General features: G+C 45.9%; 1 protein-coding gene across 3 annotated transcripts in view, besides 8 other annotated features; it reads right to left on the bottom strand.

Moving 5' to 3' along the window:
- The window catches only part of KAT2B (lysine acetyltransferase 2B), a 113959-nt gene extending 100975 nt beyond the window's left edge, over positions 1–12984 (bottom strand). For all 3 annotated transcript variants that reach the window (XM_047449147.1, NM_003884.5, XM_005265528.5), the window contains exon 1: positions 12650–12984. Coding sequence is in view for 2 of the 3 variants with exons in the window: in NM_003884.5 (NP_003875.3) it covers positions 12650–12952 (303 nt within the window). In the remaining variant the exon portion in view is untranslated. The remainder of the gene's footprint in view (positions 1–12649) is intronic.
- Positions 9712–9871: an enhancer, noted in NCBI's record as "active region_19581". NCBI's record gives its function as "activates an Ori minimal core promoter by ATAC-STARR-seq in GM12878 lymphoblastoid cells {active_cell/tissue: GM12878}" and the evidence as "EXISTENCE:reporter gene assay evidence [ECO:0000049][PMID:35858748]".
- Positions 9952–10121: an enhancer, noted in NCBI's record as "active region_19580". NCBI's record gives its function as "activates an Ori minimal core promoter by ATAC-STARR-seq in GM12878 lymphoblastoid cells {active_cell/tissue: GM12878}" and the evidence as "EXISTENCE:reporter gene assay evidence [ECO:0000049][PMID:35858748]".
- Positions 11483–11672: an enhancer, noted in NCBI's record as "active region_19579". NCBI's record gives its function as "activates an Ori minimal core promoter by ATAC-STARR-seq in GM12878 lymphoblastoid cells {active_cell/tissue: GM12878}" and the evidence as "EXISTENCE:reporter gene assay evidence [ECO:0000049][PMID:35858748]".
- Positions 12389–13359: an enhancer, noted in NCBI's record as "H3K27ac-H3K4me1 hESC enhancer chr3:20081563-20082533 (GRCh37/hg19 assembly coordinates)". NCBI's record gives its function as "activates a minimal SCP1, AML or CMV promoter by ChIP-STARR-seq in naive H9 embryonic stem cells {active_cell/tissue: H9 hESC(naive)}" and the evidence as "EXISTENCE:reporter gene assay evidence [ECO:0000049][PMID:30033119]".
- Positions 12389–13722: a biological region, named in NCBI's record as "H3K27ac-H3K4me1 hESC enhancer GRCh37_chr3:20081563-20082533".
- Positions 12523–12582: a silencer, noted in NCBI's record as "silent region_14134". NCBI's record gives its function as "represses an Ori minimal core promoter by ATAC-STARR-seq in GM12878 lymphoblastoid cells {active_cell/tissue: GM12878}" and the evidence as "EXISTENCE:reporter gene assay evidence [ECO:0000049][PMID:35858748]".
- Positions 12783–12912: a silencer, noted in NCBI's record as "silent region_14133". NCBI's record gives its function as "represses an Ori minimal core promoter by ATAC-STARR-seq in GM12878 lymphoblastoid cells {active_cell/tissue: GM12878}" and the evidence as "EXISTENCE:reporter gene assay evidence [ECO:0000049][PMID:35858748]".
- Positions 13083–13722: a silencer, noted in NCBI's record as "silent region_14132". NCBI's record gives its function as "represses an Ori minimal core promoter by ATAC-STARR-seq in GM12878 lymphoblastoid cells {active_cell/tissue: GM12878}" and the evidence as "EXISTENCE:reporter gene assay evidence [ECO:0000049][PMID:35858748]".

The following is a 17047-nucleotide window of genomic DNA, read 5'->3' as shown; positions in this document are numbered from 1 at the left end:
CTGAGTAGCTAGGACTACAGACATGTGCCACCATGCCCAGCTAATTTTTGTATTTTTATAGAGATGGGGTCTCATTATGTTGCCCAGGCTGGTCTCAAACCCTTGAGCTCAAGCAATCTGCCCACCTTGGCCACCCAAAAGTAGGATCCCACACCTGGGATTACAGGCGTGAGCCACATTCCTGGCCTTAAGAATTTAATTGTAACTTGCAGAAGAGGAAACAGTGGTTGGAGAGGATTAAAATATAGGTGATTCCTCTTTGCTTGATTTGTAGGAGACGTTCAGGCCATAAGATAACTGTTGCTTGTCATCAAGTCTGCCATGAACCAAGGGGAAACACACTTAACTATGAGTAAGTGTTGTTCCAGCTCCAGCTGGAGGCTGCCCTGCTGCAGACCACAAAGCTAGCTACTAAACCTCCCTGCACCTTAGTTTCCTCATCTTTCTTTTTTGAAGACGGAGTCTAGCTCTTGTCGCCCAGGCTGGAGTGCAGTGGCGCAATCTCAGCTCACCGCAACCTCCGCCTCCTGGGTTCAAGTGATTCTCCTGCCTCAGCCTCCCGAATAGCTGGGATTACAGGCACCTGCCACCACACCTGGCTAATTTTCGTCTTTTTGTTTTTTTAGTAGACATGGGGTTTCACCATGTTGGCCAGCCTGGTCTCAAACTCCCGACCTCAGGTGATGTGACCACCTCAGCCTCCTAAAGTGCTGGGATTACAGGCATGAGCCACCGTGCCCGGCCTCTTTTTCTCTCTTTTTTTTTTTTCTTTTTTTTAAGAGATGGGGTCTCTCTCCGTAGCCTAGGCTGGATCACCAACTCAGCCTCCTAAAGTGCTGGGATTACAGGCATGAGCCACCATGCCTGGCCATCTTTACAATACAGTTTCCTTTCCACCAATCTCACAAAGCCTGTGAATATCAAATTACCAATTTATTCAACAAATATTTATCAAGTGCCTACTATGTGCAAGGTATGATCCACCCGAGATATGAATTTAATGGAAAATTTAATGGAATTTAATCCCCAGTACAACTTGTCTGTTTCTCCTATGGGCTGAGGCCTTATGGGCTCCATGAACCCAAATCTCCGCTTCATGGAGCTTCTATTGTCATAAGGAAAACAGATAGGAAATCATTTTTTAAAACATAATTTCCAAATATTAAGAAGTGCAGTAAAGGAAAACAAAACAAGATAAGATTATAGAGTGATAGATGGGGTGCTGCTACTTTAGACCGGAGAGTCAGGAAGGCTTCTCTGAGAAGCTGGCATTTAAGAACAGACTGGAATGAGGCTTTGAGAACAAGATACAGAGATACATGGCAGAGAAAAGTGTGCAAAGCAGCAGGTAACCACATGCACAATTAGATGCTAGAGATGAATGTGATTCAAAATTATAAAAGACTTGATTCCATTTCAATTATAACTAGGTGATAAATTATCTTAAGAAGTTTGAACAGGAGGTACCTGAGCAGAAATCTTCCAAAGCAGCCCATGGAATTTAATGTTAAATGAATAAATAAATGGCAATAGATATAACACCCCATGTGTGCAAACACACAATCTTTAAGTAAATTCCCATTTTGTTAAATATACCAATTACGGAAAAGACTAATTTATAAGTGGATGGTTCAAATGAATCAGCCATTAAATAACGAGCTCATCATATATTCAATACTACTTTTCAGGGACAGTTGTTATGAAAAATCTTTGTGGAGCTGTAGAGTAATCTTTGCTTCTCACTGTCATTCCTGGGGAGAGGGTGGCATTTAATGGCCTCAGCAAGTAGTTCTAGAGAACACAGGACTGAATGTTCTCTTTCCAACATCTCTATCAACTAGGCCCACATAAGAAAGGTGGCATTGCCCACTGGAGCTTTATGTACTGGGCTCTGCCAGCCTTTTAGGAAAGCTGCCATCACTCTCAACATGTATGGTTCTGCATGGCTCACCGACTACAACGTATAGCAACTCTAGTCATCTTCCAGAACCAGGGACAAGTGGCAACAGGATTTCACATGAATATTTACCAGTAAGGACTCACCAATACGGACTCCAGGGGAGAAGGAGCTATGCAGGCTAGACATACTACCAGCAGTGACATCATCAGCCCACATGCACCCACCTCCTTATCATTCTACCTCTCTTCCTTTCATATTCCTTATCTACATCTACTTGGCCAAGTACCCCTCCTTGATTTGTTTTTTTTGTTTGGGTTTTTTTTTTTTTTTGAGACAGAGTATTGCTCTGTCACCCAGGCTACAGTACAGTGGTGTGATCTTGGCTCACTGCAACCTCTGCCTCCTGGGTTCAAGCCATCCTCATGCCTCAGCCTCCCAAGAAGCTGGGACTACAGGTGTGTGCCACCATGCCCAGCTAATTTTTGTATTTTAGTAGAAACAAGGTTTTGTCATGTTGGCCAGGCTGGTCTTGATTTCTTGGCCTCAAGCGATCTGCCCACCTCGGCCTCTCAAAGTGCTGGGATTATAGGCATGAGCCACCATACCCGGCCACCTCCTTGATTTCTTATCCACATTCCTGCCCTCCTGGGTTCTTCCAAATATGACTATCAAATTCCCATCCTTTCTTTCAAAAGCTTAGTTAAAGATTCATCCCATAGAATGGCATGACCCCAGGAGGCAGATCCTGCAGTGAGCCGAGATCATGCCACTGCACTCCAGTCTGGGTGACAGAGCGAGACTCCGTCTCAAAAAAAAAAAAAAAAGATTCATCCCATGAGGTTGTCCACATCCAATGACTTCCTCCTGAAAATTGCTGGCAATGTTTTAATTTTTTAATTTAAAAACATGTGTCTTTACAAACTACTGCTATATGCAATAATATAGATGCATCTGACAGACATAATGTTGAGTGAAAGAACCCAGACACAAATAATTCATACCATATGACTCAATTTATGTAAAGTTTAAGAACAGACAAAACTAATCTCTGGTAATAGAAGTCAGAATAAGGATTACCAGGAGTGGGGAGGAGGCACAAGAGAACCCTCTGAGATGCTGAAAATGTCCTACAGCTTTATCTAGGTGGCAGTTGCATAGATGTATACACATGTAAAAATTAATTGCGCTATAAACATGATTTGAGCCCTTTATGTGTAATGCAACTAAAAGTTTTTTTTAATGACTCCTTTTTATCATGTTGAGATACTGTTGTGTGAACCGTCTTATATAAACTGGTTGGGGGACTTCTAAATCTTTTTTTTTTTTTTTTGAGACAGGGTCTCACTCCATTGCCCAGGCTAGAGTGCAGTGGTATGATCTCAGCTCACTGCAATCTCTGCCTCCTGGGCTCAAGCAGTCGTCCCACCTCAGCCTTCTGAGTAGCTGGGACTATAGGTGCAAGCCACCACGCCCTGCTAATATTTGTATTTTTAGTAGAGACCGGGTCTCACCGTGTTGCCCAGGCTGGTCTCGAACTCCTGAGCTCAAGCGATCCGCCTGCCTCAGCCTCCCAAAATGCTGGGATTACAAGGGGGAGCCACGGTGCCCAGCTGGACTTCTAAACTTTCAAGACAGTCAATTTCTTAACTTTCTGACACATTTGGCACCTTCTATAGCCTGAGTAGGTGTCTCTTTCATCTTTCTTCAACAGAGAATTCTATTGGGCCAGCACAGTGACCAGTCTTGATTGTCAACTTTAAAACAATCAAGAGCATGTATATGTCTGTCCTGGGCCAGTAATAAAGAATGCTTATTTTGTTTACTTTATGGCCTGCACAGGTTCAATGGACTAGAAAATCCTTTGAACATACCTCTCAATTGGAGTACAATAAATTTCAAACGACAGCAGAATGCCTAAAACAAATGTAATCCTCTCAAGAAACCATTTGGAAGAAAAGCGACCCCCTCTACCCCATGCGAAAGTTTTGGAAGAGGAGGCAAAATGGTGCATAGGAAAGAGGATCTACTTGGGCAGACGCTTTCATGAGTAACCACTGTAGCTTGAAGAAGTCACTTAACCTCTTTGAGTCTCAGTTCCCTGCTAGTAAAATGAACTCCCTTACCTTCCACTTTCCCCGGGTAGAAGAATCAAATGTCGTGAGACATAACACTTTGGCAAACACACAAACTGCTAATACCAATGGAACGTTTTTTACAAATAAAATTAAATAGACATTTGTGGAATGCCTAGGTTCCAAGAACTTTCATATATCCTGAAGTATTTAATCTTCACAATAAGTCAATGAGGTGGCACCTGGACTCCTACTTCACCAAGGAGGAAACTGAAACTAGGCAGTTAAGGCGATGCCCGGCCAGGCGCGGTGGCTCACACCTGTAATCCCGGCACTTTGAGAGGCCAAGGTGGGCGGATCACGAGGTCAAGAAATCGAGACCATCTTGGGCAACATGGTGAAACCCCGTCTCTACTAAAAATACAAAAATTAGCCGGGCGTGGTGGCGGGGGCCTGTAGTCTCAACTACTCGGAAGGCTGAGGCAGGAGAATCACTTCAACCTGGGAGGTGGAGGTTGCAGTGCACGCCACTGCACTCCAGCCTGGCGACAGAGCAAGACTCCGTCTCAAAAAAAAGAAAAGGGGGGCGCTGCCCAAAGGCACCCAGCATAGAGGGAAAGAAGCAAGGATTCCCCTCCTTCTCTCCCCATGTGTGAGTAGCCAATGTGCCTGTTCTAATTCCCCGTTTGAATCAGATGACCACAGCAGAAAAGCAGCATGCAAGAGTAGGAAACTGTTGACAATTTTTCCTAAATAGCCACTTTTCTCTTAACGACAGACTAACTAAATCAGAAGCCACTGAGCCTTGAAAATCCTAATTTTATTGGCACTACACGGAGTATTCATCTGAGAAGCAGATGTGCTGACTGCTCCCAGGCATCTTACAGGAAAGTTTATATTTCACCCTCCATAGTCACCATGATGGATCAGACCCTATGGATTTACTTAACAACCGCAGAATTAAATCTGGCTAACACCGAGGCAACTGGGTTTAAATCTGCCAGATGATTTTTAAAAACAAAACAAAACAAAAACCTTAAACAGCGCTATATCACAAATCGCTATTTCCAAGCACACACTTCCTAAAACAAAACAGTCCTCAGCAGATTTTGCTGTTTTGCCCTGTAAAACACTTTCTCAGTTATATAAAACTACAAATTGCAATCTGAAGGCTTTGCAGGCTTGAATTTCCATCTTCCCTGAAAATTTCTGAGGATACAGAATTAAATTTGGACATCTTTCTCTCAGGCTTTTTGTATTGTGCCTGCCAAATGAAACATTTTTTCCTTTGTATGCTTGGCTTTATGACACTTACCGCATTTTAGAGAAGTCACCACAGGATACAATTGTATGCAATAAACTTATGTGGCTAAAGACTGATCTTTTAAAACAACATCTTATCCACCTCCCTCCATGCTTTGTACTTTGCTGTGACAATATTGCCTATCTGAAGCCTTGCCAAAAAGATATTTCTAATTTAGTTTCTGTTTGCAAACCAACAACCAATTTGATACAAAATATCACTTTAAAAAGGTATTCATGGGCCTTGTGTGGTGGCTCATGCCTGTAATCCCAGCACTTCAGGAGGCGCAGGCAGACAGATCACTTGAGGTCAGGAGTTTGAGACCAGCCTGGCCAACATGGTGAAACCCCGTCTCTACTAAAAATACAAAAAAATTTAACAGGGCATGGTGGCACTTGCCTGTAATCCCAGCTACTCAGGAGGCTGAGGCAGGCAAATTGCTTGAACCCGGGAGGTGGAGGCTGCAGTAAACTGAGATCACACCACTGCACTCCACTCCAGCCTGGGTGACAGAGTGAGGCTCCGTCTCAAAAAAAAAAAAAAAAAAAGGTACTCACGGCAAGAGGAAACTTTCGGGGATGGAAGAAGTCATAACACTGGGTTGTGGTGATGGATGCACAACTGCATACATTAACTCAAAAGCAGCATAGTTACAGTGGGCAAGTTTTATGATCTATAAATTATACCGCAATAAAGCTGTTTAAAATATATGCCCATGATTCACGAAGTGAGATTTTTCAGATTTTAAGTGTTAGTCATATTCATATTAAAAGCATTGGTTTAGGCTAGGCGTGGTGGTTCATGCCTGTAATCCCAGCACTTTGGAAGGCCAAGGCAGGCCAATTGCTTGAGCCCAGGAGTTCAAGACCAGCCTGTTAAACATGGCGAAACCCAGGTTGGCGAAACATCTCTATAAAAAATACAAAAATTAGCCGGCCATGGTGACGTGCGCCTGGCCAAGTAGCCTCCCAGCTACTTGGGAGACTAGGGTGGGAGGACCACCTGAGCCCACTGCACTCCAGCCTGGGAAGCAGAGTAAGACCCTGCCTCAAAAAAGCCTCAGAAAAAAAAAAGGGGGGGGCAAAACAAAAACCATTGATGTTTTTTCTTTCTGTGCTGCAAAGGTATTTGTCTAAAACAGGCTTTCTCAACTTCTGTTAATTCTATTAATATTTTGGACCAGATAATCATTCGTTGGGGGGAGTTGTCCTGTGCATTGTGGGATGTATAGCAACATTACTGGCCTCCACTCACTAGTTGCCAGTTGCATTCCCTCCTCCCAACTGCAAAGATTGAAAATGTCTCCAGACATTGTCAAATGTCCCTTGGGAGGTTAAATAGCTCCTGGGTGAGAGCCACTGCTCTAAATGCTGACAAATGAAAAAGACAATTTGCTCTCTGGGGGAGTGACTGACAAATACAAAGGTGTTGGGGGCGCTCTCCAACTATAAGGCTTGTTCTAGTGCCCCACCCACCAGCCCTTAGCCAACAGAGGATGCTTTTTGTTTTGTGGTGGCACATCTACCTCTGCTCTCTGTATATTCTACAACCAGTGCTACTTCTAGATTATAAATCATTATTATTATTATTTTGAGACAAGGTCTAGTGCAGTGGCATGATCTCAGCTCACTGTAACTTCTGCCTCCCAGGCTCAAGCCATCCTCCCACCTCAACCTCCTGAGTAGCTAGGGACTACAGGCACGCACCATCATGCCCGGCTAATTTTCGTAATTTTTGTAGAGACAGGGTTTCACCATGTTGCCCAGGCTGGTCTCGAACTCGTGAGCTCAAGTGATCCGTCTGCCTTGGCCACCCAAACTGCTGGGATTACAGGCACAAGCCACCATGCCCTGGGCCTATTTTTTCAATTAAGACTAATTTTATAGTCCTGTACCCATGAAACTCCTTAAATGTGGCACCTTGCCGAGAACCCAAGCAACTGGGTTCTCCATAAATGCTTTGTGGCCACTGACTCTGATATACGAGTAAAGCACCAGGCAATTCCGTTTATTTAGCCAGCATTAACCTAGCATCTTTATGTTCTAGGAATTCTGGGGACACTTTTTTCTTTTAACTTTAAGGTTGAAGTCATGATCACCACTTTATACATGCAGTCATTGAGGCTCAGAGAAAAACTAAGTGACCTGTGCCTAAGATCACACAAGTGGCAGAGCTGGGGTGGATTCAGGACTGAGTCTGTTGCTCTTACTTGACTTTCAAGTTAACAGCGTCTCCCCTACCTTCTGAGGGCTTGCCATGGGCAAGACACCATGCTGGATGTCTAATACAGCCCATTTTAAATCCTCACTGTTATGCCATGAGGCGGGTAACATCATTCCTTTACAGACAGGGAAATAAAGGCTTAAATGAAATCCTTATCCAAGGTTGCAGAGCTGGATATCCCAAAATTTGAATTCAGATTAGCCTGAACTCTGAAGCCCATGTTCTTAGCCACTATACCCTATTGCCTCCTCTTACGTATTAATATAAATGGCCTGCTCCTTTAGGAAGGGTTAGTCAATGGGTTTTGTTTCTCTTTTGAAGTTAGTAGATGATATACTTTAATTCAAGAAGATTTGGATTTGGCCTACTCATACATTCACTTGGGGTTTCTTTTATAACATTAAAAACCCAATCCCAAGCAGGCATGGTGGTGCAGGCCTATAGTCCCAGCTACCCAAGAGGCTGAGGTGGGAGGATCACCTGAGTCAAGGAGTTCAAGGCTGCAGTGAGCTATGATCGTGCCAGTGTACCCCATCCTGGGCAACAGAGCAAGACCCTGTCTCTAAAATAAATAAATAAATAAATAAATAAATAAATAAATAAATAAATAAATAGGCCAGGTGCAGTGGCTCACACCTGTAATCCCAGCGCTTTGGGAGGTGGAGGCAGGCAGATTGCTTGAGCCCAGGAGTTGGAAACCAGCCTGGCAAACATGGCGAAACCCCATCTCTACCAAAAAAAATACAAAAATTAGCCAAGTATGGTGGTGCATGCCTGTGGTCTCAGCTACTCAGGAGGCTAAGGTGGAAGGATCACTTGAGCCTGGGAGGTACAGGTTGCAGTGAGCCAAGATCACGCCACTGTACTCCTGCCAGGGTGACAGAGCGAGACCCTGTCTCAAAAAAATAAATAAATAAATAACCCAATCCTATCAATATCTGTGGGACACCTAGAACTGTCCTATATGACAAATCTCTACTTAGTTGTCAAGAAGTGATTAAGTTAAAATTCCACAACTGCTAACATCACAGCTAATCATTTCTTCCATTTTCTCTTCTCTGGTTCATTCGCTTAGTCAATAACCGCATGGCTAAGAATCTATTCAAAGATTCTAAATGCACATCAAATAATCATACAAATCATAAAAATCATAATATAAGCACCAGGAAGAGTACAGATGAATTTGGATAATTTCTAATGGGAAGGCTGCTCAGGGGGGTAAAGGAAAGGCAAGGAATCTGAGTTCTATAGGAAGGGTTGGGAGTTAATTTTAAAATGTGGAAAGAAGAGCTTCCAGTCCCAGTGAACAGCATGTGCAAAGCCCCTCACCCCACCTCACCCCCGACTAGGTGAAAGGAAACCATGTGCCTGAACCCTCGATAAGGAGCCACAGATAGCAGTAGCCAGGCCATGCAGGGCCTTGTGGACCACAATAAAGAGAAATTAAAGGGCCTGAAGTGTGGGTATAACATGGTCAGATCTACTTTATTTTATTTATTTATTTATTTTTTTTTTTAGGGAGAATCTTGCTCTGTCACCCAGGCTGGAGTACAGCGGTGCAATCACAGCTCACTGCAACCTCTGCCACCACGCCTGGTTAATTTTTTATTTTTTGTAGAGACGAAGTCTCACTATATTGCCCAGGATGGCCTCAAATTCCTGGACTCAAGTGATCCTCCCGCCTCGGCCTCCCAAAGTGCTGGGATTACAGGTCTGAGCCACTGCGCCTGGCCTAGATCTACATTTTTAATGAACACAGAACCAAAATGACTCTGAAGCAACCTTTACCAGGACACAGTTCAAAGATCTGGATCCTGCGAAACAAGTTTGTTTGTTTCTTTTCTTTTTTCTTTTTTTTTTTTCTTTTTCTATTCTCTGGGGTGTGGCACGTCACCCTGGCTGACTTAGCTCCCTTCTTTTTTGGTTTCGTTTGTGAAGTTTAAAGGCCAGATTTATATCAGGCCTGGGACCTGTTTTTCTTTCAAAAGCCCCCCAGTGAACTACCTTATCTCTTTCTAGATCCCTCCTCATTCTCTAATCTCTCTAATCTAACTTGCCAAGGGGCCTGTGGCAAAGGTAGAGCAATCTGTCCTTTTGGGCTTGCTCATATTAAGTGCAGAAACAAGCTGAGAGAGAACCACAGATTTTGCTCTCTTACACTCCCTCGTACCCAATCAAGTCCAGTTAAATTTTTTTTTTTTTTAAAAAAAGCAAATCTGAGATAATGTCACTCTCCAGGTTAAGATTCCTGCACTCCTCAGTGCCCTCTTGGCCACGCACCCCAGCCGGTGGCCCTAGGCAACAAAGGTCTGGCTCAGTTGGCCCACCTCCAAGCTTCCACAACTGCTTTCAGTTTCTCCACTACAAGAAGCTTCACCCCACCCCACTCTGCCCTGCCAAGAGTTCTTAGCAGCCACTGACACTTCCTCCAGGAAGCCAATCCCACCCTACCAGTGCCCCAGTCTATGAACTGTCCTGCTCTGGGTCCGCAACTACTCCAAGAAAGTAGTTTTTCTGAACTTCTCTGTAATTTTGGTTCACTGCCCTCATCCCTAGGCCCCCAACACATGCATACACACACATGCACTTGTGCACACACACAATAAGTAACTCCTGAAGGACAAATTCTGTGTGTCATAGGCCCAGCACCTAGCCCAATGCCTGACACCCAGTTGGTAACCCTCTAAATATTTACTGAATGAATGGATACATAAAAATGAACACTTTCAGCCAGGCATGGTGGCCCATGCCTATAATCTCAGCACTTTGGGAAGCAAGGCGGGCAAATTGCTTGGGCTCAGGAGTTTGAGAACAGCCTGGGCAACAAGGTGAAACCCTATCTCTACAAAGAATACAAATAATAATAATAATAGTGTACTGGCGCATGCCTGTAGTCCCAGCTACTCAAGAGGCTGATGTAGGAGGATCACCTGAGCCCAGGGAGGTTGAGTCTGCAGTGAGCTACGATCATGCCACTGCACTCCAGCCTACGTGGCAGAGTGAGACCCTGTCTCAAAAAAAAAAAAAGACGTTAAAATAAATTTTCTCTTTCTCTTGTTGGGTCATGAAAGTGACCAGGAAACACTCAAATCCCACTTGGAAGTGGTGCTACATCTCACCCATGGAAATTTGAAAAGATCAAAAATATCAATGCAGGCCACATATGCTCATGGTTTTAGACAAAACCAAAACTTCAGGAAAGTTTTCAGATATTAAAGCTACAGCAGGCAGCAGGAAGTCTTTAAGAGGTGCTGGTGATGAGAACCCAATAAATAAATTTTAAAATAAAGCCAGAACAGAAACACTGAGTTGAGACAGTTCCTGCATGAGCCCACTTTGGCTGCGAAACGCCAAGGCCACCAAGTAATTGACCTTGCTCTTTTTTTTCATAGGTTTTTGTGGAACAGGTGGTGTTTGATTACATAAGTTCTTTAATGGTGATTTGTGAGATTTTGGTGTAGTCATCACCCAAGCAGTATGCCCTGTACCCATGACCTTGTTCTTAATTCTGTACATAGCTCGCCCTTCTGCCTACTACAGTCGGTGTCCTGTTCTCATTCGTCTAATGCCCTTCATGATCAACTCCTGGGCTTGCACCTTTCTTAGAAGCACACTCCCCACTTCATCTTTTTTGCATTCCTTCTTCAGAAATAACCACATAGCATTATTATTTGTTTCTGTCTTTTCTGCTAAAATCAAAGGGGACAAATAATATATTGTCCAGGTCTGAATTGGAATGTGGTCTGTGGACTAGCATAGCATCACTTGGGAGTTTGTCAGAAATGCAAACTCTCAGCTTCCACCTCAGACCACCTGATTCATAATCAGCATTTTAACCAGCTTCCCCAGGAGATTCCCATGCACATTAAAGTTTGAGGAGCACTGGGCTAGATCCTACATTCACTCAACAAATATTTATTGAACCAGTGTAGGATACAGAGGTGCTTAACATAAACCTGAGCATATGGTGTGGAAAAAGAGCAAGCATAGACATTCCATTGTGACTGAGAAGCTCCTGCAAGTACCAAGAAGAGTATAACCTAGATGTTCTAGTAGAATAAATTATAGTTATGTCAAAATTCAGAAGTGGTCACTGCAGCTTGGTTGTGACAATCGGGAATCTGGAATCTGGGAACTTGACCCTCTTTACAGCAGGCAGGAAGAATACAGGGAGGTGTGAGTGTGTGTGAGTGTGTCTCTTCCCTGCCTCAGCCACAGGCCGCAGGAGCTGACAAGGCCAAGTCCCCGCCCCCCTCAGCTGTCACCCTGTCAAAACAAAGCCGCTGCTGACAGCGCAGGGCCAGCCTGCCCCGCGGCCTCGGGCAATCCTCCCACCTCGGGAACACAGCCTCCACATCTGGATCTGCAGCTGGAGGTGACAGGGTGCCTAAACTGGCATGGAGAGTGGGTAGCAAGAAATGGGTGTCCTCAAACTGAGCAGTAGCGCCCGCCGCGCTGGGCTGTCACTTTGCCAAATCCTGTTTACACCTCGAGCAGCTGGGACAGCGTTTTAACTAAACAAGTAATAATACAATAATGACAGGGCTGTCACCGCGCGCGGCAGTGCCTCCGCCCCCAGCCGAGGGCGCCAGGCACCACAAGACCCTCGCCTCGGACTCTGCCCACCTTCCCACCCCGCGCTTTCCTCCCCTTCGCTTTCCCAAAGCGCCAGGAGTCCGGGAGTCTTCTCCACCCCCACTCCTTGCACCCAGTTCCTCCCAGTGGGACACAGGAAGGGATCGATTGCAGAAGGGACCACTCAGTCCCCCAAAAGATTTTTCCTTGCCCCTGGGTCACCCGCCACATGGAGAGCACCGCTCCACTCCCGGGAAAGTGACTCCAGCGAGCTCCTACAGAGCAACAAAACCCCAAGGTAGCCCGGGAGCTCGGATGCCGAAGCTACTCCTTTCAAGCGGAAGGAATGAAGGGCTCTCCGTCTTAGTGATCCCCCTTCTTCAAACCCAGCAGGACTCTTATCCAAGAAGAAGCTAATTGGGCGCGGGCGACAAGAGCACTTCCGCGGTGCAGCGGCCCCAGGCGGGAGGCGAGAGGCAGGAGGCGGGAGGCGGAGGTGGAAGCGGGAGGGGGAGGGGGGTCCCGCGGGCTGGGCCCCTAGCACCCATCCGCGGTCCGAGAGCGGCGAGCGCGTACCTTGCAGGCGGAGTACACTCCGAGTTTCTCCAGTTTCTTGGCCCGCGGAGCGGAGCGTAGTTGCGCTTTCTTCACGGCGATTCGGGCCGAGCCACCGCCTCCCGGTCCTTCGGCCGTGCCCGCTGCAGCCACTGCCGTCGCCGGACCGCAGGCGCCCGAGCCCCCGGCGGCAGCGGCGCAGGGGGAGCCCTGCGGGGGCGCGGGCGGAAGCGCCGCAGGCTGCGGGGGCAGCGCCCCGGGCCCGGCCCCTGCCCCGGCTCCTGCCCCGCAGCCGCCCGGCCCGGCCCCGCCAGCCTCGGACATGCCGCCCCGGAGCACGGCAGGAGGCGCCGAGTGTCAGGCGCCGCCGCCGCCGCCAGGGTCTCCCTCTCGGGCTCTGGTAGTCGGGAGAGCGAGACCCTCCCCCCACGCCCTCCCGCCCCCTTCGCCCACCCCCCTCCCCGCCCCCGCCCTCCCCCTAGCGCGCCGCTCGCCCGGCTCGCTCTGGCCGGGCCCCGCGCGCTGATGGTGGTGGCGGCGGCGGCAGCGGCGGCAGCTGCTCCCCCAGGAGGGAGGGGACTAGCGGCTCCGCTGCCGCTGCCGCCGCCGCCACAGCACACGCCCTCCCTTGGTTCTCCTGCCCGGGACTCTGCTCCGCGCCCTGGCTGCGGACATGTTCCTCGGGACTGCGGACTAGGTGTGCGTGCCGGCGGCTGCCAGCCTCACGGTGTCTGCCAGCGCTGGGAGGCCCCCCACGGCCTCTTTTCCGCTGCCCGCGGGGTTTGCACCCCCCACCCCAGTGCTTCGACACCTACCGCTCGCCCGCCAGGGGGCGAGGCCAATCCCTGGGTGTGGGTGAGGGTGGGGACGAGGGTGGGGGTAGGGGCCTGGAGCCCAGGCACCTGCTGGCCACCTCCCCCCTCCGCGGCCCCCCATCCGACCCCCGCACGCCTGCACCAGTGGGAGGGGGCAGCCTCTCAATCATTTGTCCTTTCACTCTCTTCCACCCTGTCTCTGACAGAGAGACAACTTCCTCCACCCTAGCGGGAGCCAGAGGAAAAAAAATATATTTTTGAAAAGTACCCGTCCATGCTAATCTTTTTCTTTGTTGCTAATTCACCAAAATAAAGACGTGATGTTCTCCCTTTCTCTTTTTAAATACTTTCTGTCAAACTATTTTTTAATATAATTAACACTTTCTTCCCATAGCAATTTCTGGGTCAAATCTGCCGGAGGAGGGGAAAAAAACTTACTATTCTCTGTAATTTTTGTTTGAAAGTGCTGGTTGCTAAAAGAAAGATTGTCTAAAAAGCATTGTCAAAAACTATGCAGTGGAAAAAGTTTGAATACAAAAAGTTTGTTAACAGGATTCGTTTCTGGGTGGTGGTTCTATAACGTTACGTAGTTTTCAAAATTGTGCCACCGCGTGCGTATTAACCAGGAAAAAGATATAAGCATAATTCAAAAGAATAAATATCGATTTTGGCCTCAAACTTTAAAAAGAAAAAAAAAACCCTCAACTCAGTGTTTCCAACTCTTGTTGAAAACTGTTGTTTTCACTGTTGATGACTGTGGAGCATACAAGTCAGTGCTGCGTTTGAAAGTGGTGTACCGTTGATCGCCTTCTTAAGCAGGTTTTAAAAGCCCAGGGCTTTTTCTCAGGACCCTTCAGAAGTGCCCTACTTTTTGTTATATGCAATGTGGGTCATAATGTGCTTATTATCAGATTTTATGCATGCTGTATAGCTCTCAGGCCAGACGCTTTAAGGGGTGTGCTTTTCGTGGGAAACATTCCCCTTCTTCTTTTTCCAGATTCTCTGTGTTATTTTGACTTGTAATGCAGGTTAATATATAAACATTGGGAGGTGGGGGAGTTTGTAGATCTAAACAGTGATATTAGCTTAGACAGGGCAAAAGGCAATATTCTCTCCCAACTTGAGTCCAGTCTTGAGGGGATGAAATGGCAGATTCTTATCAGGTTCCATTCAGGACAATTAATTTCAGTGCTTCCTTTCTTAGCTTGACGTGCTTCACGTTACCAGTGTTACTCTCTCCTGGCTCTGCTGAGATGTTTCGCAGATTTTTGCCATTCTCCGCAAAGCAGGGTGAGAGTCTTAAAGGCTGTGCTTCTCTGATCAACCTCTAACATGGATTTAACAGATACTAATAAGAGCTTGGGTTCCACCTTGCAGGCATTTGTCAAACTGATGGAATGATCCACTTGAGATCTGTACATTTCACTGGATATAAATGTTGCCTCAAAAATTTTTAAAAAAAGAAAAATCACAAGCATTGAACTCTAATGGTGCTCTTTGTACTTTGAGATACATCAAAAATAAGATGTATGGATGCCTCCATGCATGGGTAAAGGGTGGATGAACAGAGATATGATAAAGCAAATAGGGGTCCATATAATAGAGTCTAGGTAATGGGCACAGTGCGCAATTCTTTCAACTTTTCTGTATGTTTGAAAATTTTCACAGTGACAATTGGGGGAGGGAACCCAGATTTAACATTAAGTCACCTATCAACTCCTCCTCCCAAGCGTCCCTCAGAATTCAGGAGGCAGACAATTTCCAGGATGTTTTGAAGCAGAAGTAGCCAATCTCCTTTCAATCCACTCTGAAAACCATCACTGTCTGAGTGGCGAATGGCTTGTGCCATTAACTGAACATTATTTTTCATTATTTCCCTGCTCAGAGTACCCAGATGACATACTGCCTTAGGCTGAAGGCCCGTGGTTTCAAGACCTATTCAAAGTGTGTTATGAGCACCAGGCAAGGAAATTTCAAGGGCAAAGGATTCAGGAGGCTTATTGCTTTTCCATAATTAGGTTGTTGTAAGCATTCAGTGTGCTCTTTCTGTGCACACAGTACTTTTAAGAAATAACTACCAAGAAAATAAAAGGCAATGTTTTCATTTACAAAGTATTTACCACTTACTGAGGTAAAGAAGCTACATTCAGAAAATAAAAGCTTGGAGAGTGGGCATGGTAGAGGCAGGCTGACCACTGGAGGTTACTTGTGGTATATTCACACAACAGAATATTTTATACCTGTTATACACAATGACCTTTATAAAAATATAATAACATAGATCTCTAAGAAACACTGTTGAATAAATCTCAGTGCAGCATAATACCATTTATGTTAAAAACAAACTCACATTGACATATAAGCACAATTTTGTATATGTTCAATAAATGCATGGGAAATTCAAAAGTAAGGGAAAGATTTAAAAAGGTACATAGCAATAAAATAAAATTTCAACTTCAGAACACGAGATTATATAACAAGAAGTTGATAAGGTCCACCCCTTCCCATTCTCCCTGGTGCTGCAGTATACTTCAGCCAAACTCAGGAAATGCTTTCCTACCTCAGGGCCTTTGCATTTGCTGTACTATGTGGATACCCTCCACCAAACAGCATGGCTAACCCTATTCATCTGGTATTCCTTGCTCAGAGATGCCTTCCTAAAAAAGGCAAGTTTTGTGGCCATCTATTGTTATATCATCTAGCAGAGTTTCTTGCCATATTCCTTCCTACCAAGGCTATACAGCTTCTGTAATGTACCAGTAACCCTGAATCCCACAGATGGATTGAAATTATCCCCAGTAAAGGCACAGACTGTAAGGGTACAGATCAAGTGGTCAAAGTGCAGGTTTGGCCCAGTACATGGACCATGACTGACATTCTTCCCAGACACCTGCTTTTAGAAACAGCAGTTGGATATGAGTGTAAAATAAAGAGACATGTCAATGCCTAAGTGGGGCTCCTTGGGCCAACCTTCCTCTGAGGGAAGTGGCTATAATTACTGAACATTTATTTTAAATTAAATAAAATAAATCCTCCTAGGAAAAAAGTTTTGAAAATAATAAATGAATCCTAGGATGAGGAAACATAAAATCCCCTTCCCTAGTTTTCAAGCATTTATGAATTAAATCATTTCCAGTGTGAATCTTAACCATGCCCCAAATACCATTAGTGCTTTCTTTTTTTTTTGAGACAGAGCCTCGCTTTGTCGCCTGGGCTGGAGTGCAGTGGCGCTATCTCGGCTCACTGCAACCTCCATCTCCTGGGTTCAAGCGATTCTCCTGCCTCAGCCTCCCGAGTAGCTGGAATTACAGGCGCCCACCATCACGCCCAGCTGATTTTTTATATTTTTGGTAGAGATAGGATTTCACCATGTTGGCCAGGCTGGTCTCGAACCCCTGACCTCGTGATTCACCCGCCTTGGCCTCCTAAAGTGTTGAGATTACAGGCGTGAGCCACCATGCCCAGCGCCATTAGTGCTATTTTATTCAACCTTTTTTTTTTTCTTTTTGAGGCAGGGTCTAGCTCTGTCACCCAAGCTGGAGTGCTGTGTTATGATCAAGGCACACTGCAGCCTCGACCTCCTGGGCTCAAGTAATCCTCCTAC

Source organism: Homo sapiens, chromosome 3 (assembly GCF_000001405.40).
Source record: "Homo sapiens chromosome 3, GRCh38.p14 Primary Assembly".
Lineage (NCBI taxonomy): Eukaryota > Metazoa > Chordata > Mammalia > Primates > Hominidae > Homo > Homo sapiens.
This window is presented reverse-complemented; position numbering and strand designations above follow the sequence as displayed.